Source organism: Homo sapiens, chromosome 18 (genome assembly GCF_000001405.40).
Source record: "Homo sapiens chromosome 18, GRCh38.p14 Primary Assembly".
In the NCBI taxonomy this organism is placed as follows: domain Eukaryota; kingdom Metazoa; phylum Chordata; class Mammalia; order Primates; family Hominidae; genus Homo; species Homo sapiens.
In genome coordinates, this window is record NC_000018.10 from 31,934,598 (window position 1) to 31,958,316 (window position 23,719).

Here is a 23,719-nt window from a genome sequence, read left to right on the forward strand (position 1 = left end):
TGGCTCACACCTGTAATCCCAGCACTTTGGTAGGTCAAGGCGGGCGGATCACCAGAGGTCAGGAGTTCAAGACCAGCCTGGCCAACGTGGTGAAACCCCGTCTCTACTAAAAATACAAAATTAGCCGGGCATGGTGGCACGTGCCTGTAATCCCAGCTACTCTGGAGGCTGAGGCAGGAGAATCGCTTGAACCCGGGAGGCAGAGGTTGCACTGAGCCGAGACCACACCATTGTACTCCAGCCTGGGCAATGAGAGCTGAGATCACACTACTGCACTCCAGCCTGGGCAATGAGAGCTGAGATCACACTACTGCACTCCAGCCTGCTGGGCAACAGAGAGAGGCTCCGTCTCATAAATAAATAAATAAATAAATAAATAAATAAATAAATAAAATGTATTTTGAAAATAATGACATCTTTTATGCTTTTACCCAGCATATAAAACTGTACAAAGAAAACAGGCTAGGCCGGGCGTGATGGCTCATGCCTGTAATCCCAACACTTTGAGAGGCCTTGGCGGGCGGATCACCTGAGGTTGGGAGTTCAAAACCAGCCTGACCAACATAGAGAAACCCCGTCTCTACTAAAAATACAAAATTAGCCAGGCGTGGTGGCGCATGCCTGTAATCCCAGCTACCAGGGAGGCTGAGGCAGAATTGCTTGAACCTTGGAAGTGGAGGTTGCAGTGAGCCGAGATTGCGCCACTGCACTCCAGCCTGGGCAACAAGAGCGAAACTCCACCTCAAAAACAAACAAACAAACAAACCAAAAAAAAAACAGGCTTTATAAATAAGTCTGCAATTACAGGCTGGAGCCGCTGCACCCAGTGGCTCAAGCCAGCTACTCGGCAGGCTGAGGCAGAACTGCTTGAACCTGGGAGGTGGAGGTTGCGGTGAGCCAAGATCGTGCCATTGCACTCCAGCCTGGGCAACAAGAGCGAAACTCCATCTTAAAAAAAAAAAAAAAAAAAAGCAGGCTTTATGAACAAGCCTGCGATTATAGGCTTGAGCCACTGGACCCACTGCACCCAGTGAGTGCCTCAAGCCTGTAATCTCAGCATTTTAGGAGGCTAAAGCAGGAGGATCACTTGCACCCAGGAATTCAAGACCAGCCTGGACAACAGAGGGAGAGAGACCCCATTTCTTTTTTTTTTTTTGAGACAGAGTCTCGCTCCGTCACCCAGGCTGGAGTGCAATTGCATGATTTCAACTCACTGCAACCTCCGCCTCCCAGGTTCAAGCAATTCCCCTGCCTCAGCCTCCCGAGTAGCTGGGATTACAGGCGCCCGCCACCACACCCGGCTAATTTTTTGTGTTTTTTTAGTAGAGACGAGGTTTCGCCATGTTGGCCACGCCGGTCTCAAACTCTTGACCTCATGATCCACCCACCTCGGCCTCCCAAAGTGCTGGGATTACAGGCGTGAGCCACCACACCTGGCACAAGACCCCATCTCTATAAAAAAATTTTTTTTAATTAGCTGGGTGTGATGGCACACACCTGTGTGCTACTCAGGAGGCTAAGGTAGGAGGATCTTGTATACTTTATACATATAAAACTTTACCATATTAAAAAACCCTCTGGCTGGGTGTAGTGGCTCAAGCCTGTAATCTAGGCACTTTGGGAGGCCGAGGCTGGCAGATCGCTTGAGTCCAAGAGTTCAAGAACAGCCTGGGAAACACAGCAAAACCCCATCTCTACAAAAAAAATTTTTTTTTTAATTAGCCAAATGTGTGATGCAAACCTGTAATCCCAGCTACCCAGGAGGCCAATGTGGAATGATCGCTTGAGCCCAGGAGGTCGAGGCTGCAGTGAACCATGATCATGCCCCCTGTATCCAGCCTAGGTGACAAAGTGAGACCCTGTCTCGAAAAATTAATAAAACAAAATGAAAACAAATTTCGAAAAACTGACTTGAATTTTATTCAGAGTTTGGTACTTCCACACCTTGGAGATTAATTACTTCATTATATAAACATGGTAGTTAAGATTGATGAAATATTTCCAACTAAAAGAAATTTAAGAGGCCAGACGCAGTGGCTCATGCCTGTAATCCAGCACTTTGGGAGGCCGAAGGCGGGTGGATCACTTGAGGTCGGGAGTTCGAGACTAGCCTGGCCAACATAGCAAAACCCTGTCTCTACTAACAACACGAAAATTAGCCAGGAGTGGTGGCCCGTGCCTGTAATGCCAGCTACTTAGGAGGCTGAGGCAGGAGAATTGCTTGAACCTGGGAGGCGGAGGTTGCAGTGAGCTAAGATTGTGCGACGGCACTGCAGTCTGGGTGACAGAGCAAGACTCCGTCTTTAAAAAAAAAAAAAAAAAAAAAAAAAAGGAGCCAGGCGCGGTGGCTCACGCCTGTAATCCCAACACTTTGGGAGGCCAAGGCGGGTGGATCACGAGGTCAGGAGATCAAGACCATCCTGGCTAACATGGTGAAATCCCGTCTCTACTAAAAAAACACAAAAAATTAGCCAGGCGTGGTGGTGGGCGCCTATAGTCCCAGCTACTCAGGAGTCTGAGGCAGGAGAATGGAGTGAACCCAGGAGGCGGAGCTTGCAGTGAGCTGAGACGCACCACTGCACTCCAGCCTGGGTGACAGAGCGAGACTCCGTCTCAAAAAATAAAAATAAAGGAAAAGGAAAGAAATTTAAGGCCGGTCGCAGTGGCTCGCGCCTGTAATCAAAGCACTTTGGGAATCCAAAGCGGGTAAATTGCTTGAGTCCATGAGTTTGAGACCGGCTGGGCAGCATGGCAAAACCCCATTTCTACAAAAACTACAAAAATTAGCCAGGTGTGGTGGTACATGCCCATAACCCCAGCTACTGGTGAGGCTGATGAGGGAGGATATTTTGAGCCAGAAGGTTGAGGCTATAGTGAGCCACGGAGTTCAAGACCAGCCTGGGCAACAGAGTGAGGCTCTGTCTCAAAAAAAAAACTGCTCACTTCAGCAGCACATATACTAAAATTGGAATGATACAGAGAAGATTAGCATAGCTCCTGCACAAGGATCACACAATGTTTTTCAAGAATTCAAAAAGAAAAGAAAAAGAAATTTAAGAAAACTGGAGATATTAAATAGCCTTCAAAAGTTATATCCTAGTCTACTTTTTTTTGTTGTTTTTTTGAGACAGAGTCTCGCTCTGTCACCCAGGCTGGAGTACAGTGGCAAAATCTTGGCTCACTGCAACCTTCACCTCTCGAGTTCAAGTGATTCTCCTGCCTCAGCCTCCCGAGCAGCTGGGACTACAAGCGCCCACCACCACACCAGGCTAATTTTGTACTTTCAGTAGAGATGGGGTTTCGCCACGTTAGCCACGCTGGTCTCAAACTCCTGACCTCAGGTTATCATCCAACTCAGCCTCCCAAAGTGCTGAGATTACAGGCCTAAGACACTGCACCTGGCCTACTTTTTAATCCCTTTAGTAACCTTAATTTCAAAATAAAATAATATATAACCCACATACTTCCAAGTTAGTGTTTAAGTGAAATTTTCTTAAAACTTACAGAACATCTAAATGATATATTGCAACATTGTTTAGAACTATCAAAGAACTATCACTAAGCAAAAACAAGGCTTAATTTTAATTTTTTGTTGTTTGCTTGATTAATTAATATTAATACCACGACTCTTTGAAACATGGCCAGTGGAAATTCTTTGAGTATTAGGATCTCAAAATTTGTGTCAAACAATGACTACATTAACTCTCAAACATACATCAAGCATAACAATCACAGAAAATACATATAATAAATTTAATTATATATTTTAATATAATTTAATTTTAACATAATTTAATACTCTTCAGGTTTTAAAATGTCTCTAAGGAACCTAAAATGGCTCTCCGTTGTGTAATACATCAAGTCTAAACTGTATTTTGAAGGCCCTACACACAAATAGTACTCAAATCTCTTCTACCAACCCTCTCTTTGGTATAGCTTTAAACCAAGTGTTTTCTACTAAAATCTAAAAATAAGTCTCCTGACAATACTTGGCACTGTACTTGACACTCCTTGAAAACTCAGCAGTCAAGGCAAAGTTCTACCCTAAGTAAAGGCATACCTACAGGCCAGAAATTGAGTCTTCTTTTTTAACATATTTTTTCTCCCTCTAAGGAAATGTTAGCTGGTTTTAGTCAGTTGTATTCTTAAATTACATTGCCTGAAATTATATTCTCATGCCTCACTTGCTAAAGAAAAGCTGTTGCCTAGCTCAGTGGCTCATGCCTGTAATCCCAGCACTTTGGGAGGCCAAGGCGGGCAGATCATGAGGTCAAGAGATAGAGACAATCCTGGCCAACATGGTGAAACCCCATCTCTACCAAAAATAGAAAAATTAGCTGAGCATGGTGGCACGAGCCTGTAGTCCCAGCTACTCGGGAGGCTGAGGCAGGAGAATCACTTGAACCCGGGAGGCGGAGCTTGCAGTGAGCCAAGATCTATCTCGCCGCTGCACTCCAGCCTGGTGACAGAGCGAGACTCCGTCTCAAAAAAAAAAAAAAAAAAAAAAGCTGTCTTTGAAGAATCCCCACACTTGAAACAAAAAGTAGCTGTTCTAGGTGGTAAAGAATTCTAAAATGTATTTATACCAGCAAAAAACTAAAACCAAGAAAAATTAAGTCCTCTTTGCCAAATTTCTAATGCTACTATCATAGTCCATGTTCATCTTGAAATGTAAAACTTGTATCTACTTATATCTATCCTTATAAACCACACAACTCACTAATCTCCAAAACTTTCAACTCATTAATGTCCAAATGTTTCAGACCCTCAAGAATCTACTCACATTTACCATTAGACATAAAATCGCAAATCCCTTTCCTAGAATTCAAGGTCCTCCCTTTATCTAAGCATCCTCTTACTACTCTGTACCCCAGTAAGAGTTTCCTCCCTGTTTCCCAACCATTCAGTCATAATTTAGACCTTTTGCCCATACCATTATAACCTCATACCACTCCTTCATAGGGAATGACTGCCCTCTTGCTTTCTACCAACTGTCTACCTGTCCACTAACGTCCAACTCATTATACTCCTTCACTAGGCTGGACGCAGTGGTCCGAGACGAGCCTGGGCAACAAGGAGAAACCCCATCTCTACAAAAAATTTAAAAATTAGCCAGGCATGATGGCATGTGCCTGTAGTCCCAGCTACTTGGGAGGCTGAGACAAGAGGATAGCTAGAACCTGGGAAGTTGAGGCTGCAGTGGGTGAGGGAGCTATGGTGATACAATTGCACTCCAGCCCTCCCAGCGTGGGTAACAGAGCAAGACCTTGTCTCAAAACAAAAAACAAACAAACAAAAAAACTCCTTCCCTAATCTTCCCCAGTCTCCTGAAGGAAATCAGAAGTGTACTGACAATGAGCCGCTATCACAGCACTGTCCAATACAGTAGGCAACAGCTGCATATGGCTACTGAGTACTTGAAATGTGACTAGTACAAATTGAGATGTTAAGTATAAAAGGCACACCAAATTTCAAAGACTAAGCAATAAAAAAGAATGTAAAATATCTCATGAATATTTTTCACATTGATTACACATTGAAATAGTAACATTTTGGAAATACTGAGTTAAATAAAATACAGTATTAAAACTAATTTCGGCCGGGCACGGTGGCTCACGCCTGTAATCCCAGCACTTTGGGAGGCGGAGGCGGGCGGACCACGAGGTCAGGAGTTCGAGACCAGCCTGGCCAACATGGTGAAACCCTGTCTCTACTAAAAATACAAAAATAAGCCGTGAGCGCCTGTAATCCCAGCTACTCGGGAGGCTGAGGCTGGAAAATCGCTTGAACCTGGGAGGCAGAGGTTGTAGTGAGCCAAGATCGCGCCACTGCACTCCCAGCCTGGGCAACAGGGCAAGACTCCATCTCCAAAAAACAAAAAACAAAAAAACTAATTTCACTTGTTTCTTTTTACTTTTTTAATGTGGCTACTAAAATTTTTTGTTGTTGTTGTTTGTTTGGTTGGTTTTGAGATGGAGTCTCACTGTGCCTCCCGGGTTCAAGTGATTCTCCTGCCTCAGCTTCTCGAGTAGCTGGGACTACAGGCGCCCACCACCACGCCCAGCTAATTTTTGTATTTTTAGTAGAAACGGGGTTTCACCATGTTGGCCAGGATGGTCTCGAACTCCTGACCTCGTGATCCACCCGCCTCGGCCTCCCAAAGAGCTGGGATTACAAGCGTGAGCCACCGCGCCCGGCCGAAAATTTTTTAATTATACCTGTGACTCACATTATATTTCAATTAGACAGCACTGCTCTATGGTGTAAATACATAATTCTAAATACTGTCAGGAGATAAGATGATTAAGAACACAATGTCTTGAGTCACACTGCCTGTTTCAAATCTTTCCCAGACGCAAAACTGTGAACAAATTAACACTTCTATGCTTCAAGGTCCTCAAATTTAAAATTGCAATAACAGGATTCAATGAGGACTAAAAAAGAAAAGTTACACAAAGCAAGTATCAGGTATTAGCATTATTATTATTTATTAAGAAAGAAGGAAAGAGTACACATATAAAAGTAAAACTAGCTCAAGTGTTTGTGTTTTTTTAGGAATTCAAGGCCGGGCGCGGTGGCTCACGCCCATAATCCCCGCACTTTGCGAGGCCGAGGCGGGCAGATCACCTGAGGTCGGGAGTTCGAGACCAACCTGACCAACATGGAGAAACCCTGTCTCTACTAAAAATACAAAAATTATCCGAGTATGGTGGCGCATGCCTGTAATCTCAGTTACTCAGAAGGCTGAGGCAGGAGAATCGCTTGAACCTGGGAGGCGGAGGTGGCGGTGGGCTGAGATCGCGCCACTGCACTCCAGTCTGGGCAACAAGAGCGAAACTCCATCTCAAAATAAATAAATAAATAAATAACAAAAAAATAAAAAACGTAGGGCATTTTGTTGCTCTTAAGTCCAACACTGAAGGAACTGAGACTGATGGCTACGATACAGGCTAAAGAAAATCCAAAAGTTTCCAAACTTTGTTTTTTTGGACAGCTCCCTCTCTCCGCTAAAAACAAAAGCTAATTTATAATGGAACTATTCTCCCAAAAAACATGGTAGCGCAAAAATGGTACAGCACTGATTTTTTTTGTGGATAAGTCATATTAAGCTAACAAACATCACAGTCGTTTGCCTGACACAGGCTTATTATGAAACCCTTCAGTTCTTACCGACCTTAACAAAAAAAACTTTACTTGGACTTTGTTGTTTGCAAGATATTGGCTAAAACATGCTTGAAGCTTTACCACATTATTTTCTCCTAATAAAAAAATCCAAAACTGGAGAAAACGGGTAGCTTCTTAACAAGACATTCATTAACAAGAGAAGACATTTCCATCCCTATAACTATAGATAACTCCAAATATCCAGGTTAAATTAACCACAACTTGGGCTTGCTTCCTCTTCCTTAGGGCAAAAAGCTGCTTCAAGTTTTATTCTTCTTATAATACTTTTAATTTTCTTGAGAGGTTAAGCAAAATACCGTATAGCTAAGAATATATTAGTAAAACAGCTACACGGTAGTTCAGACAGAGATGACCCTCAACGCTACAAGAATGTAATAACATCCACAACTACTTTCAAAGTCCAGTTTAACATCCAAGGGAGGATGACAGGTCTTCCTTACTCAGACCCTGTCGGTCTAAGAGGCAGCATTTTCCTACCTTAGCTGCTTTGCAAGTGCCTAATTCCTTCGCTATGGCCGTGGAGAACAGTCTCAATGCCGTTCTCGAAGACTCACGTTTATCTTTGCACCAATTACTTAACGACCTAGGTTGTCCGAGGAAGAAAGGAAGTGCCCAGAGAAACTGGAGCTTAGGACTGCGCTGTCTTGACAACCTCACGGTCCCTCCTCCAGCCGCCCCCGGAGCACCGCGGGGCCACAGCCCCAGACGCCACGGTACCGGCTCCAGGACGTAAACACTGCCCTTCTCTTCCCTGCCCGCCCGCAACTTCCTTCTCCCGACCACGGCTTTGCGGGAGCCCACTGGAAAAGGGAGGATACCACATACCCTCGGAAGTGAGGCGGGAGAAGGGCTTAAGCAGCTCCGCGAAGCTGAGGTGATTGAGACGAGTGAGCCGCTCGGCTTCGTCGCTGCACAGCGCAGCGACACAGGGGACGAAGGAGTCCGGGATTAGCTCCTGCACTGATTGTACACACTGGGCCATCGCCGCAGCACAGGCAGCGGCGGCGCCCGCCCTCCGGCCCACCCTGCGAGGTTATCCTGCGGCTGCAGCAGCTACCGCCGCCGCCCGCCGGCCTGGCCCGGCCGGGCGGGGCCCCGAACGCACTGGAGCCTAGAAACAAGAAGGAACAGACGCCGCCGCTTCGGTTTCTGGGGCACAATCCACTGACCCCCCCCTTCCCGTCACCGCCGCTTCTCAGCGCTCGTCCCCGCGTGCTCGCATTCCACCCCGATAGGTGGAGACGCCGACAGTCACCACTTAGTCCTTCGGACGGCAAAACCTTGGTCACTGCCCGGCCGGAACCGCCATGTTGAGGCCGAACCCTGACCAACCGGCAGTACTACTCCCAGCTGCCCCCGCGCGCGTCCCTCACGTGACTGTGTTAAAGGAGACGGTAGGGGCAAGGGAAGAGAGCTGAGGAGAGGGAAGTGAAAAACGACGGAGGCCGGTTGGGAGGCTGGAGCCGGAAGTGTTGTGACGGAAGCTCCCTGGGCGGGGCGGGGCTACAAGTGCGGTGGGCGGGGGCGGGGGCGGGGGCGGGGGCGGGGGGAGGTGCACAACTGTAGGCCGGGTTCTCAAGCTCGCCCTTAGCAGAGCAGAGCTGAGAGCCACCTACTAGCGGCAGGTGGAGCCTCGAGACGGGTGCTGTCGTGGTGATGGAGGCGCACGCTCGCTTCCCACGCAGTTTGGCCTTTTTGACGTCCCTGGCTGTTGTGGGCAACCGATTTGGTTGGTCGCGCTGCTTCCTACGCTCGCCGGCGGAGCAGCTAGTGGCACCTGCTCGGAGAGAGGGAGTGGATCTCTCGGAAGTGCTTGGGGTTTCGCTGAAGCGGACCTGAACAGACCATGTGTCCTTTAAATACAGCCATGCTTTTAGAAACGGACTGTCACTTTATGTGGACTCAACCATTGAACAGAATGTGTGCTTTTGTGAGTGCTGCAATTCCTTCAAGTGTAATTGCGCTACTGCATTTTTGTTGGTCGCAGGGAAGGGGTGTGCCTGCAAATGTCCGCGTGGTTCGTCCTCAGCCTCTTCCTTTTTACACTGTGCTAGGATGTTTACTTGCTTGTGGTGGAGGTAGGGGAAGCCAGTATTTGTGTACTGTGTACTGTCCTGAACCGGCTTTCATTCCTAACTTTTCAAAGATTGCTTTAAAGGGGGGGGGGCGCGGGTCAAATATTGTTTTAAAGGGGGGGACGGGGTGAGGTCAATGGTGTGTGCCTTGTAAGTAGAAATGAATGAAAGGAATTTTACTAATGTGTCACTCAATTGTTTGAGCTCCTTCTGTTTTGCATGCCAAAAATATAAGGCAAGGAAAAATGTATCATTCTATCATGATTTTATGGTGCTCTAATTAAAGGTGTCTTCCCCAACGTCAATGTCTCAAATTTTTCGACTTCTTGACACCCTCAGGTTTTCACTAAGGTAATAATTTATGACAAGTAAGATGTGTGCTTCTCATGTAAGTTGATAAATGGGAGGTAGGAAGGCACAGTAGGACATATTGATGACATGCCTTGGCTACAGATTAATTTATAAGAGAGTCCATCACTTTAGGAGATTTATTTGCCGAAGTTAAGTACGAGCCCAGGAAACAGGTCTATGCCTTTCTTCGAAGATGATTTTGAGTGCTCCAAATTTAAAGGGGAAAGGGCGGGATATTGAGAAGCACACCGTTTTCATGTAAGGGGGCGGTAGGAGAAAATAGTAATTCTTGCCTTTCTCTGGCTCAGTGAATCTGCATTTTTTACATAAGATGACATAAAATGGGCAGAGGAAGAATGTGGGAGTCTGCATTTTTCATAAGATAACAGACAAAATGGGGTAGGGGAACAATCAGATAGGCATTTGTGTCTGGCGGGCTGGGGTGGCCACCTGTAAAGATAAGCTATCAATTTGCATTGCCATGAAGTTTTAACAGCACACTAAGAATTTCCTTGTGGGCAAAATACGGGGGAGAGATGTAGCTTTTCATCTTGCAGCAATCTTATTTAGGAACCAAAAGGGGGAGGCAGATTTGCGTGACCAGTCCCAGCGTGACTTTTCCCTTTGGCTAAATCAGTTTGGGGTCCCAAAATTTAATTTCCTTTTGCAAGAGATAACATGTTACACACAATCCCTTTTCAATGCTTCTGATTCACTTCCTTACCCTTTATAATGTGAGAATCTCACATAATTTAGTGTGACTCAAGTTATAAGATACATTTTTTATAACAGGACTCCCAAATGCAAACATACTATTTATCTAGTACTCTAAAAAGTTTCAAAGGCCATTTATTTTTATGCTGAAAGTAAAAACAGCTGAATTAGACTCTTTGAAAAGGACTTTCAATGGTAATTTAGCCAAAATAGATTTTTCTGAGATATAATTCACATGCCATAATATTTACCCCTTCAGATGAGTGTACAATTCATTGGTTTTCAGTTTATTCCAAAAGTTGTGCAACCATTACTACTATCTAATTCCAGAACATGTTCATCCCAAAAAGAAGGCTTGTACAGGCTTTTATCATTCTGCACCCTGCCATGCCCTCCAACTCCTGGCAATCACTAATCTACTTTCTGTCTGTGTAGATTTACCTATTCTGGACATTTCATATAAGTGAAATTATACAATATGTGGCCTTTGTACACATATTACTTCACTCATCAATATATTTTAAAGGTTCATCCATGTTGTAACATGAATCATTACTTCATTCCTTTTTATGGCTGAGCCTAAATGGATTTTTGTCTTATGCATTGACTTTGCAGTTGTTGTTTTTTTTTTAATATATAGAGATGAGGGCTCACTGTATTGCCCAGGCTGGCCTCAAACTCTGGGCTCTGGTGATCCTTCTGCCTCAGCCTCCCAAAATGCTGGGATTGCAGGTGTGAGCCACCACACCCAGCCTGACTTCACAATCTAATACCACACCCATACACAGTGTTTCCAGTGAGTAACTTCACTGTGTAAATCTAATTCTTTCGTAGTCTATCCTGGTCTCTTCTTTCTTTTGACAAGGTACTGTTTGAACTGTGGAAACACCTTAAAGGAGATGATACTGAGGACTTAACTCTGACATTTTTCCCCTCCTCCCCGAATTCCTATCTAAGGGGCCTGTGGAGTCACACCCTACAAAACATAAAATGTTATCAAATGGGCCGGGCGCGGTGGCTCACGCCTGTAATCCCAGCACTTTGGGAGGCTGAGGTGGGTGGATCACGAGGTCAGGAGTTCGAGACCAGTCTGGCCAACATAGTGAAACCCCGTCTACCAAAAATACACAAAAAATTAGCTGGGCGTGGTGGTGTGTGCCTGTAATCCCAGCTCCTCAGGAGGCTGAGGCAGGAGAATCACATGAACCCAGGAGGTGGAGGTTGCAGTGAGCCAATATCGTGCCACTGCACTCCAGCCTGGGCAACAGAACGAGACTCCGTCTCAAAAAAAAGAAAAGTTATCAGATGGGTTTTATGTAAACTTATATAATATGGCTTACTTTCCAACTTGACTCTGGCATAACATCACATGACAGATAAAGGAAATCAAAGTATTTTACCTCAAAATATATTTCTTTGCCGTATTTTGAAATGCCCCTGCAAAGCTATTTTGTGGGGAGAGAGGTAATTGCATCTGTTAAGAATCTCTGTTGGCTGGGTGCAGTGGCTCACACCTGCAATCCCAGCACTTTGGGAGGCCGAGGCATGTGGATCACCTGAGGTCAGCCCGGCCAACATGGTGAAGCCCCGTCTCTACTAAAAATTTAGCCGGCCGTAGTGGTGGGCTCCTGTAATCCCAGCTACTCTGGAGGGTGAGGCGGGAGAATCACCTGAACCCAGGAGGCAGAGATTGCAGTGAGCCAAGATCGCACCATTGCACTCCAGCCTGGGCAAGAAGAGCAAAAAACTCCATCTAAAAAAAAAAAAAAAAAAAAAAAAAAAGAATCTCTATCAACATAATTAGATGTTTCCCCCTTCCAGGCCCTCCCAATTCTGAAGAGATTAGCTGAGAGTCTAGCCCCTTTTACAGGTCAGAATAGGAAACATTTGCCATCTATTGTCTCTAAGGATGGCCACCTAGGAGACTTCATCTACATAATAAGAACCTTAGTGTCCACCACCCCTTATCTTAATCCAGGCATTCCTTTCTGTTTATTCCAGGTCTTTAAATAGTAACTTCACTCTTTCAACCAATTGCCAATCAGGAAATCTTTTAATCCACCTATGACCTATAAGCCCTCCCCCAAACCCTCTTCAAGTTGTCCCACCTTCCCCAACCAAACCAATGTATACCCCAAATGTATTGATTGGTGTGTTATGTCTCCCTAAATTGTATTAAAACCAAGCTGTAACCCAACAGTCTTGGGCACATATTCTCAGTACCTCTTGGGACTATGCCTCAGGCCTTGGTCACTCATATTTTGTTTAGAATAAACCTCTTCAGGGCCGGGCACGGTGGCTCACACCTGTAATCCCAGCACTTTGGGAGGCCAAGGTGGGCGGATCACAAGGTCAGGAGTTCAAGACCAGCCTAGCCAACATAGTGAAACCCGGTCTGTACTAAAAATACCAAAATTTTAGCCAGGCATGGTGGCGCGTGCCTGTAGTCCCCTACTCAGGAGGCTGAGGTGGGAGAATCACTTGAACCCGGGAGGTGGGGGTTGCAGTGAGCCAAGATCACGCCATTGCACTCCAGTTTGGGCAACAGAGTGAGAGTTTGTCTAAAAAAAAAAAAAAAAAGAATAATCCTCTTTAAATGTTTTAAAGAGTTTGATACTTTTTGTCGACAATATTTACTGTGACCATAGTAGCAGACCTTTTAGTCAGGATTCTTTCAATGTCAAAACAAAGCAAATTAGGCCAGGCACACAGTGGCTCATGCCTGTAATCCCAGCACTTTTGGAGGCCGAGGCAGGCAAATCATCTGAGGTCAGGAGTTCGAGACCAGCCTGGCCAACATGGTGAAACCCGTCCCTACCAAAAATACAAAAATTGGCCAGGCATAGTGGCATGTACCTGTAGTCTAAGCTACTTGGGAGGCTGAGAATCGCTTGAACCTGGGAGGTGGAGGTTGCAGTGAGCCAAGATCACTCCCGCCTGGGCAATACAGCAAGACTCCATCTCAAAAACAAAAAAGGCAAATTAAATTTATACTAACGTCAGCAAACTAGAGAATTTAATGGCTCATGTAACTACAGGTAGAGATGGGATAAAGGTCACAGGAAAGAAGGAAGAGCTGCAAAAATAATGGCTTCAAGGACCAAAGGCCAGGATTTGTTACCAGCAAGTCCCTCTATCTCTAATTTCTAATTCTGTTAGGCTTCGTTTTTCAGGAAGCCTCTGTCTACATGATAGGGTTTGCCCACATCCCCAGATCATATTGTTGAGGCTCAGAATGTCGACAAAAAGAGTCGAATTCTGTAAAATATTTGAAGATATTTATTCTGAGCCAAATATGAGTGACAATGAGGTCCTGAGAACATGTGCCCAAGGTGGTCGGGCACAGCTTGGTTTTATACATTTTAAGGAGGCTTGAGACATTAATCAAATACATTTAAGAAATACACTGGTTTTAAGGGAGGAGACCACCCCTCATATTGTCTTATGCTCAATTTCTGCCTCCAAAGAAAGAAGTAAAAACTAAAAGGCAGAAATGAAATCCACCGGCGCACAGCCTGGTGCCGGACCTGGTTAAAGGTCGACCCCTGACCTAACTGGTTATGTTATCTATAGATTCCAGACATTGTATGGAAAAGCATTTTGAAAATCCCTGTCCTGTTCTGTTCCGTTCTGATTACCAGTGCATTCAGCCCCCAGTCAGGTACCCCCTGCTTGCTCAGTTGATCACAACCCTCTCACGCGGACCCCCTTAGAGTTGTAAACCCTTAAAAGGGACAGGAATTGCTTACTCTGGGAGCTCAGTTTTTGGAGATGTGAGTCTTGCTGAAGCTCCCGGCCGAAAAAAGCCCTTCCTTCTTTAACTAGGTGTCTGAGAGGTTTTGTCCGCGGCTTGTCCTGCTACAGTTTGATCCGGAAAGATGGGACAACTCAAAGTGGGGCAGGGGGATTGGGTTACCAAACACCTTCTGGTTGATAATTGGTTGAGTTTGTCTAACTGGGATTCATCCGCTTAGATCGCACCACTGCACTCCACCCTGGGCGACAGAGCAAGACTCCATCTCAAAACACAAAAAACAGAAAGGGAATGTTCAGTTTAAGATAAAAATTGTGGCTGGACGCGGTGGCGCACGCCTGTAATCCCAGCACTTTGGGAGGCTTAGGTGGGCGGATCACCAGGTCAGGAGTTCGAGACCAGCCTGGCCAGCATGTTGAAACGCCATCTCTACTAAAAATACAAAAATCAGCCAGCCGGGCATGGTGGTGTATGCCTGTAATCCCAGCTACTCAGGAAGCTGAAGCAGGATATTCGCTTGAATCCAGGAGGCGGAGGTTGCAGTGAGCCGAGATCGTGCCACTGCACTCCAGCCTGGGCGACAGAGTGAGACCCCGTCTCAAAAAAAAAGAAAAAGAAAAAAAAGATAAAGATTGTGGAGGTCAAAGTTCTTTTTAAGTCTTATAGTGGCTGCCCTTAGAGACAGTAAATAACAAATATTTCCTATTCAGATCTTAATTAATCTCTTTAGGATTGGGACAGTCTGGAAGAGAAAGAACTAGCTATGTTAATAGAGATTTTTTTCTTTTTTTTGGACAGAATCTCACTCTGTCACCCAGGCTGGAGTGCAGTGGTGCGATCTTGATTCACTGCAACCTCTGCCTCCTGGGTTCAAGTGATTCTCCTGCCTTAGCCTCCCAAGTAGCTGGGACTACGGGCATGTGCCACCATGCCCGGCTAATTTTTTTTATTTTTATTTATTTATTTTTAAGACGGAGTTTCACTCTGTCGCCCAGGCTGGAGTGCAGTGGCGAAATCTTTGCTCATTGCAACCTCCGCCTCCCAGGTTCAAGCAATTCTCCTACCTCAGCCTCCCGAGTAGCTGGGACTACAGGCGCATGCCACAATGCCCGGTTAATTTCTTTTATATTTTAGTAGAGACAGGGTTTCACCGTGTTGCCCAGGCTGGTCTCGAACTCCTGAGCTCGGGCAATCTGCCTGCCTCGGCCTCCCAAAGTGCTAGGATTACAGGCGTGAGCCACCACACTCAGCCATTTTTTTAATTTTTAGTAGAGACGAGGTTTCACCATGTTGGCCAGGATGGTCTCGATTTCCTGACCCTGTGATCTGCCCTCCTCGGCCTCCCAAAGTGCTGGGATTACAGGCATTAGCCACCGGGCCAGGCCAGAGATTCTTTATAGATGCAAATTTTCCCCCACAACTAACAGCTTTGCAGGGCCATTTCAAAGTATGGCAAAGAAACATGTTTTGGGGTAAAACATTTTGATTTTCTTCTTTGTCTTGTAATGTTATGCCAGAGTAAAGCTGGAAAGTAAGTTGCAATATATAAGGTTAAATAAAACCTATCTGTTGAGAATTTATGATTTGTAGAGCATGACTCCCCAGACCACTCAGATAGGAATTTGGGCAAAATAAAAAAAATCTGAGTTTAGTCCTTAGAAACCAGTATCTCAAAATAAGGTGTTTTGACCTGCTGAACTGAAGAAGCTGCAAGATCTGTTTGACCCACCCTCCCCCATTGAAGTTGAAGTTCTTTATTTACCTAAGATCCAGACCTACCAAGGAAAACTATAATTTTTTTCTCCCCCTCCCTGTAATCTCATCTATTGTAGAAAATAAGACCAAGATGTACCCACAGCTGAACAGACTCTTTCACAAGTATAATGACTGTCTCCAAGGATCATTTGCATTTCAAAAAGAACTCTTTACACATTAATTTCTGTTTCCTGATCCAGTCCTTCTCCCCAGTAATCATTTATTGCCCCTCAACAGAATTCTTGTCCTCACTCCCATAACCTGTTTTGCAAGGATCTAATGCTCCCATTCTTTCTGTAGCCTCACGATGGTATATAATTAGCTGGTGTGGTGATTCTTGCCTGTTGTCCTAGCTACTCAGGAGGCTTGGGCAAGAGAAACACTTCAGCTCAGGAGTTCAAGGCTACAGTGAGGTGTGAGCCTGCTACTGTACTCCAGCCTGAGCAACAGAGCCAGACCCCATCTCTATTTAAAAAAAAAAAAAGAGATGGTATATAAGTTTCTGTAACTGAGGGGTTGAGTGGTCATTCTGAAGGCTCCCACGTACGCATGTTAAATACATTTGTATGTTAGCCAGGCAGTGACTCATGGCTGTAGTCCCAGCGTTTTGGGAGGCTGAGGCAAGGGCTTCACATGAGCCCAAGAGTTCAAGACCAGCCTGGACAACATAGTGAGATGCTGTCTCTACCAAAAAAAAAAAAATTACCTGGGTGTGGTTGTGCACACCTATAGTCCCAGCAACTTGGGGGGCTGAGGTGGGAGAATCGCTTGAGCCCAGGAGGTTGAGGTTGCAGTGAGCCATATTCGCACCACTTCACTCCAATCTGGGCAACAGAGCGAGACCTTGTCTCAAATGAATAAATAAATATATAAATAATAAACGTGTATGCCTTTTCTCCTGTTACTCAACCTGCCTCATGTCAGTGATTTTCAGTGAACCTCCAGGGGTCCTGGAAAGGATCAATATACCAATCCCAGGGAATGCCTCTGATTTTCCCTGCTTGTATCACATGCCTTTCCCTTGAGGACTAACCTCTGATTTTTTTTTTATCTTGTCTAAATTCCTAAGGAGTCTGGGAGTCATGCCCTACAAATCCTAAATTATCATCAGATGGGTTTTATTTAACCCTATATATCATAATTTACTTTCCAACCTGACTGTGACATAACATTACGAGACAAAGAAGAAAATCAAAATGTTTTACCCCAAAACATTTTTCTTTGCCATACTTTGAAATGGCTCTGCGAAGCTCTTCTTTGTGGGGGAAAACTTGCATCTGTAAAGAATCTCTATTAACTCCTGGCCAACATGGTGAAACCCCATCTCTACTAAAAATACAAAAATTAGCTGGGCATGGTGGCGCATGCCTGTAGTCCCAGCTACTCGGGAGGCTGAGGCAGGAGAATCACTTGAACCCAAGAGGCAGAGGTTACAGTGAGCCAATATCCCGCCACTGAACTCCAGCCTGGCGACAGAGTGAGACCCCGTCTGGGGGAGGGGGGGAAGAATCTCTATTAACATAGCTAGATCTTTCTCTTCCAGACCCTCCCAATCTTAAAGAGATTAACTAGAATCTAAATAGGAAACATTTGTCACCTATTGTCTCTAAGGGCAGCCACTATAAGACTTCAAAAGAACTTTGGTCTCCACAATCTTTATCATAACCTAAACATTCCCTTTCTAGCTATCCCAGATCTTTAGACAAATTCAACCAATTGTCAACCAGAAAATGTTTAAATTCACCTATAGCCTGGAAGCCCCCTGCTTTGAGTTGTTCTGCCTTTCTGGACCAAACCAATGTATTTCTTAAATGTATTTGATTGATGTCTCATGCTTGTCTAAAATGTATAAAACCAAGCTGTGTCTGACCACTTTGGGCACATGCTCTCAGGACTTCCTGAGGGCTGTGTCATGGTCCATGGTCACTCATATTTGACTCATAATAAATCTCTTCAAATATCTTACACAGTTTGACTCTTTTTGTTGACACCCTGAACCAATCGATTTCCAGGTAAATGGGCGATATTACCAGCCAGGCATAGGTCATATTTCCATTCCTGTAGGCGGGGAGATAGAAACTATGATGAGTAAAATGGGAATGGGAAAGTTCACTGGCTAAACAAAAACAATACCCATCATATACCACAAACTACCCATTGGCTTCTCAGCATTCACACATACCCTTCTTCTCATATATATGATTCCAAGAATGCTGCTAACTAGTAATTATCCCCTTTAAAACTGAAAATAGGCTTATCATGCATCCAAAGGAAAACAAGCAAAAAATCACATCCAGCCAGGCACAGTGGCTCAGGCCTGTAATCCCAGCTCTTTGGGAGGCCGAGGCAGGCAGATCACAAGGTCAGGAATTTGAGACCAGACTGACCAACATGGTGAAACCCCATCCCTACTAAAAATACATCTACATCTCTACTAAAAATACAAAAATTAGGCTGGGCTCGGTGGCTCACGCCTGTAATCCCAGCATTTTGGGAGGCCAAGGTGGGCAGATCACAATGTCAGGAATTCGAGACCAGACCAACATGATGAAACCCCATCTGACTAAAAATACAAAAATTAGGCCGGGCTCGGTGGCTCATGCCTGTAATCCCAGCACTTTGGGAAGCCGAGGCAGGTGGATCATGAGGTCAGGAGTTGGAGACCAGCCTGACCAACATGGCGAAACCCTGTCTCTACTAAAAATACAAAAATTAGCTGGACGTGGTGGTGTGCACCTGTAATCCCAGCTACTTAGGAGGCTGAGGCAGGAGAATCACTTGAACCCGGAAGGCAGAGGTTGCAGTGAGCCCAGATCACACCATTGCACTCCAGCATGGGCGACAGAGCGAGACTGTCTCAAAAAAAAAAAAAAAAAAAAAGTCACCACGCACAGTTCCAAAGCAAGGGATCTCTTGAGGGTGTGTGCTCTTCTTGGTCAGGTCTTCATGGTCCTATTTCAAATGACTAAATTTTAAATAAAAACAACCCCATTTCATCTCAATCCAGACCTTAAAAATAAAAAAAATTAAAACAACCCCAGTCAACAATGAAAGAATACAGGACAATCTTTTAATACCATATTTTAAAGGAAAGACAATTTACAATGGCCACTGGACAAGGACAGCAAAAATTCATTCTCCAGTCAGTGGAATGAATCTTGTGGTCAAACTGATCTACTTCCAGTCCTGCTTGCTAGGAGGATATCCCTTAGTCAATATCCTCTAAGGCCATTCCTAAGAGAGATGAAAAAGGCAGAGATAGAATATTCTCTTGATTCTGCACCTACTTCTTGTTTGCAAAACTATAAGGACTTGGGAATGATCATAAAGTATTTTCTAGAGGAGTTGGAGACAAAAATCAATAAGGAACAAATCTTTCTAGCTTATTGGTCTACCATCGTCTAAGATGTTATCCGCTTCTACAGGATTAAAGCTGAGTCACTGCCCCATCTGCTTTCTGGCCTGCAGGAATAGGGAAAAGAGAATGAAAAAGTACATGTCTAATGGTTTAAAGTCAAATCATAGCTGGGCATGGTAGCTGACACCTGTAATCCTAGCACTTTGGGAGGCCGAGGCAGGCAGATTGCCTGAGCTCAGGAGTTCAAAACCAGCCTGGGCAACACAGTGAAACCCCATCTCTACTAAAAAATACAAAAAAATTAGCCAGGCTTGGTGGCGGGTGCCGGTAGTCCCAGCTACTTGGGAGGCTGAGGCAGGAGAATTGCTTGAACCCGGGAGGTGGAGGTTGCAGTGAGCCGAGATTGTGCTACTGTACTCCAGCCTGGGCGACAGAGTGAGACTCCGTCTCCAAAAAAAAAAAAAAAAAAAAAAAAAATTTAAATTTAAAAAGTCAAATCATAGAAATGCCATTCAATAACTTCAGTCAATCCCACTGGCCCCATTGAGTCTCATGGACACACCTATCTCAAAAATAGGCTGGAAAACATAGGCGCAAGGATTCTGTTGCTAAAGGAAGAGGAGTAGAATGAATGTGGGATAATAGTGATCTCCACCACACTTTATCAGGAATGAGGTACCCAGCAAGAGGTATTTCCCTGGGGTCTAGGATATCACATTACTTGTCTGTGTCTCTGAATCATCTGGCATTGGGCCCTGCTTGCATCACATGCCCTTTGGACAATTTATCACGTCCAGTAAAAGTGAGAACCTATGATTACCCAGGTTTGGTCATGTGCCAGCCTTCAAGGCCAAGAGGACAGGGTCTGTCACTAAAAGAGAGGAAGCTTGCTGGACAAATTAATAACAAAAGCACAAGCAATTAAGGACGTCTTTTCCCAGTACTGAAGATGAAACTTGTCAGGCCTCTGAGCCCAAGCCAAGCCATCGCATCCCCTGTGACTTGCACGAATGCATCCAGATGGCTTCAAGTAACTGAAGATCTACAAAAGAAGTAAAAATAGCCTTAACTGATGACATTCCACCATTGTGATTTGTTTCTGCCCCACCCTAACTGATCAATGTATTTTCTAATCTCCCCCACCCTTAAGAAAGTACTTTCTAATCTCCCCCACCCTTAAGAGGGTTCTTTGTAATTCTCCCCGCCCTTGAGAATGTACGTTGTGAGATCCACCCCTGCCCGCAAAGCATTGCTCTTAACTTCACCGCCTATCCCAAAACCTGTAAGAACCAATGATAATCCACCACCCTTTGCTGACTCTCTTTTCGGACTCAGCCCACCTGCACCCAGGTGAAATAAACAGCTTTATTGCTCACACAAAGCCTGTTTGGTGGTCTCTTCACACGGACGTGAGTGAAAAAACTGTTTATTTCTCTCCTCAAATGGAAGAATCCTATCAACTGTATGCTACACCAGTATATAGTTTAATATACTTTTTTTTTTTTTGAGATGGAGTTTTGCTCTTGTCACCCAGGCTGGAGTACAATGGCGTGATCTCGGCTCACTGCAACCTTCACCTCCTGGGTTCAAGCGATTCTCCTGCCTCAGCCTCCCCAGTAGCTGGGATTATAGGCACATGCCCCACATGCCCCGCCGGCTAATTTTTGTATTTTTAGTAGAGACAGGTTTCACCATGTTGGCCAGGCTGGTCTCAACCTCCTGAGCTCAGGCAATCTGCCTGCCTCAGCCACCCAAAGTGCTAGGATTACAGGTGTGAGCCACTGCTCCTGGCCTGAGTCTAGCATTCTTTATCTTTAAGCTTAGAAAGTTGGGACTAGATTTCTTGTATTCATTTACATGTGAAGCTCTGAGTCTGTCATTCTTTTCTTCAAAAAAAAAATTATCTTCTTCCTAGATCAACACCAACCAGATATTATTCCCGCTATTTTTTTTTTTTTTTTTTTTTTTTGAGACAGAGTTTCGCTCTTGTTGTCCAGGCTGGAGTTCAATAGTGCAATTTTGGCTCACTGCAACCTCCACCTCCCGGGTTCAAGCGATTCTCCTGTCTTAGCCTCCCGAGTAGCTGGGATTACAGGCATCCACCACCACACCCAGCTAATTTTGTATTTTTAGTAGAGGCGGAGTTTCTCCATGTTGGTCAGGCTGGTCTTGAACTCCCGACCTCAAGTGATCCATCCACCTCAGCCTCCCAAAGTGCTGGGATTACAGGTGTGAGCCACTGTGCCCAGCCCAGCTTTTTGTATTTTTATTACAGATGGGGGTTTCTCCATGTTGGGCAGGCTGGTCTCGAACTCCTGACCTAGGGTGATCCGCCAGCCTCTGCCTCCCCAAGTGCTGGGATTACAGGCATGAGCCACCGCGCCGGCCAATAACTGTACATTTTAAACTAAAGAGTGTAGCCTGGGCACGGTGGCTCATGCCTATAATCCTAGCACTTTGGGAGGCTTACATGGGTGGATCACCTGAGGTCAGGAGTTCGAGACCAGCCTGCCCAACATGGTGAAACCCTGTCTCTACCAGAAATATAAAAAATTAGCCAGATGTGGTGGCAAGTGCCTGTAATCCCAGCTACTTGGGAGCCTGAGGCAGGAGAATGCGCTTGAACCCGGGGGGCTGAGGTTGCAGTGAGCCGAGATGGTGCCACTTCATTGCAGCCTAGGTGACAGAGCGAGACTTTGTCTCCAAATAAATAAATAAAATAGTATAATTGGTTTGTTTGAGGGAATGGATACCCCATTCTTCATGATGTGCTTATTTCACATTGCATGTCAGTATCAAAACATTTCATGTACCCCATAAATGTATACACTTATGTACCCACAAAAATAAAAACTAATCAATAGAAAAAAGAATGCAGGATGAAGTCAAGGGACAAAGAAATGAAGATGTATTCTTATGCTGATCACATTTCTCTGTGGGGGTCTTCAAACTACTTGCTGGAAGTCAGGGTGTGAAAAACATCTGAAGTTATTTATTTATTTTGTAGACGGAGTTTCACTCTGTCACTCAGGCTGGAGTTCAGTGGCACAATCTTGGCTCACTGCAACCTTCACCTCCTGGATTCAAGGGATTCTGGTGCCTCAGCCTGCCGAGTAGCTGTGATTACAGGCATGTGCCACCACGCCTGGCTAATTTTTGTATTTTTAGTAGAGACCAGGATTTCACCATTTTGGCTAGGCTGGTCTTGAACTCCTGACCTCAGGTGATCTGCCCCGCCTGGGCCTCCCAAAGTGCTGGGCTTATGGGAGTGAGCCATTGCTTAAGGTGTTAAGTGATTCTTTTTTTAGATGGAGTTTTGCTCTTGTTGCCCAGGCTGTAGTGCAATGGCGCCATCTAGGCTCACTGAAACCTCAGCCTCCCAATTAGTCGGGATTACAGGCACCTGCCACCATGCCCGGCTAATTTTGTATTTTTAGTAGAGAGGGGGGTTTCGTCATGTTGGTCAGGCTGGTCTCGAACTCCTGACCTCAGGTGATCCACCCGCCTCGGCCTCCCAAAGTGCTGGGATAACAGGCGTGAGCCGCTGCGCCTAGCAAGTGACTTGTTGTTGTTTTTGAGATGGAGTTTCACTCTTGTTGCCCAGACTGAAGTATAGTGGCACAATCTCGGTTCACTACAACTTCTGCCTCCTGGGTTCAAGTGATTCTCCTGCCTCAGCCTCCCAAGTAGCTGGGATTACACAGGCATGTGCCACCACACCTTGCTAAATGTTCGTATTTAGTAGAGATGGGGTTTCACCATGTTGGTCAGGGTGGTCTCAATCTCCTGACCTCGTGATCCGCTTGCCTCAGCTTCTCAAAGTGCTGGAATTACAGGCATGAGCCACTGTGCCCAGCCTACAAGTGATTCTTAAACAAAAGTCTTATGATTCCAATGTCAGAGAACGTGCCTATAGGAACAAAGGGGATGCAAATCAATTCTTTTATTTATTTCTTTTTTTCTTTGAATTTCCTTCCTCATGTTAAAGCAAATCAATTCTTAAACAGTCTTACAACCCTAACTTCAGAAATCCTATCTATAGGAATAATGGGAATGCAAATGGTCAGTACCTGGTGCTACCTGACTTTTAGCAACAAGGAAGTGGGCCAAAGTACAGCCTGATTAATACTTAGTTATGACTACATATCAGTCCAGAACCCTACATGCAATTCTTGTCAATCCTGTGGGGGTGGTTTCATATATATATGTGTGTGTGTATATATATGTGTATATATATATTTATATATATAATCCTTTAATATGTTGTTGGATTAAATTTACTAATATTTTGTAAATAATTTTTGAGTATGAGGGATATTAGCATATTATATAATTTATGAGGGATATTGGCATATTATTTTATTTATTTAATTTTGTAATATATTTGTCTAGTTTGTGGTTATTATGGCCACATAAAACAAATTGAGTAGCCAGGTGCAGTGGCTCACGTGTGTAATCCTAGCCCTTTGGAAGACCGAGGTGAGCCCAGGAGTTTTAGACTCCTGCTTGAGCCCAGGAGTTTTAGAC

At 44.9% G+C, this 23,719-nt stretch overlaps 1 protein-coding gene and 1 pseudogene across 11 annotated transcripts in view, besides 7 other annotated features; one reads left to right on the top strand and one right to left on the bottom strand.

Moving 5' to 3' along the window:
* TRAPPC8 (trafficking protein particle complex subunit 8) overlaps nt 1–8,531 on the bottom strand; it is a 113,932-nt gene extending 105,401 nt beyond the window's left edge. For 9 of the 11 annotated variants that reach the window (XM_017025616.3, NM_014939.5, XM_005258234.4 and 6 more), the window contains exon 1: nt 8,011–8,531. In XM_017025616.3, coding sequence (XP_016881105.1) covers nt 8,011–8,167 — 157 coding nt within the window. In that variant the 5' untranslated portion in view covers nt 8,168–8,531. Of the gene's footprint in view, nt 1–1,741; nt 1,855–8,010 lie in introns of those variants that run through there. The other 2 variants (XM_017025615.2, XM_047437353.1) reach the window with 1 other exon arrangement.
* On the top strand, nt 2,936–3,042 carry RNU6-1050P (RNA, U6 small nuclear 1050, pseudogene; annotated as a pseudogene).
* Nucleotides 7,426–8,204: an enhancer, noted in NCBI's record as "NANOG-H3K27ac-H3K4me1 hESC enhancer chr18:29521986-29522764 (GRCh37/hg19 assembly coordinates)". NCBI's record gives its function as "activates a minimal SCP1, AML or CMV promoter by ChIP-STARR-seq in naive H9 embryonic stem cells {active_cell/tissue: H9 hESC(naive)}" and the evidence as "EXISTENCE:reporter gene assay evidence [ECO:0000049][PMID:30033119]".
* Nucleotides 7,426–8,255: a biological region, named in NCBI's record as "NANOG-H3K27ac-H3K4me1 hESC enhancer GRCh37_chr18:29521986-29522764".
* Nucleotides 8,136–8,255: a silencer, noted in NCBI's record as "silent region_9386". NCBI's record gives its function as "represses an Ori minimal core promoter by ATAC-STARR-seq in GM12878 lymphoblastoid cells {active_cell/tissue: GM12878}" and the evidence as "EXISTENCE:reporter gene assay evidence [ECO:0000049][PMID:35858748]".
* Nucleotides 8,306–8,515: an enhancer, noted in NCBI's record as "active region_13208". NCBI's record gives its function as "activates an Ori minimal core promoter by ATAC-STARR-seq in GM12878 lymphoblastoid cells {active_cell/tissue: GM12878}" and the evidence as "EXISTENCE:reporter gene assay evidence [ECO:0000049][PMID:35858748]".
* Nucleotides 11,663–12,346: an enhancer, noted in NCBI's record as "OCT4-NANOG-H3K27ac hESC enhancer chr18:29526223-29526906 (GRCh37/hg19 assembly coordinates)". NCBI's record gives its function as "activates a minimal SCP1, AML or CMV promoter by ChIP-STARR-seq in naive H9 embryonic stem cells {active_cell/tissue: H9 hESC(naive)}" and the evidence as "EXISTENCE:reporter gene assay evidence [ECO:0000049][PMID:30033119]".
* Nucleotides 12,347–13,030: an enhancer, noted in NCBI's record as "OCT4-NANOG-H3K27ac hESC enhancer chr18:29526907-29527590 (GRCh37/hg19 assembly coordinates)". NCBI's record gives its function as "activates a minimal SCP1, AML or CMV promoter by ChIP-STARR-seq in naive H9 embryonic stem cells {active_cell/tissue: H9 hESC(naive)}" and the evidence as "EXISTENCE:reporter gene assay evidence [ECO:0000049][PMID:30033119]".
* Nucleotides 22,535–22,594: a silencer, noted in NCBI's record as "silent region_9387". NCBI's record gives its function as "represses an Ori minimal core promoter by ATAC-STARR-seq in GM12878 lymphoblastoid cells {active_cell/tissue: GM12878}" and the evidence as "EXISTENCE:reporter gene assay evidence [ECO:0000049][PMID:35858748]".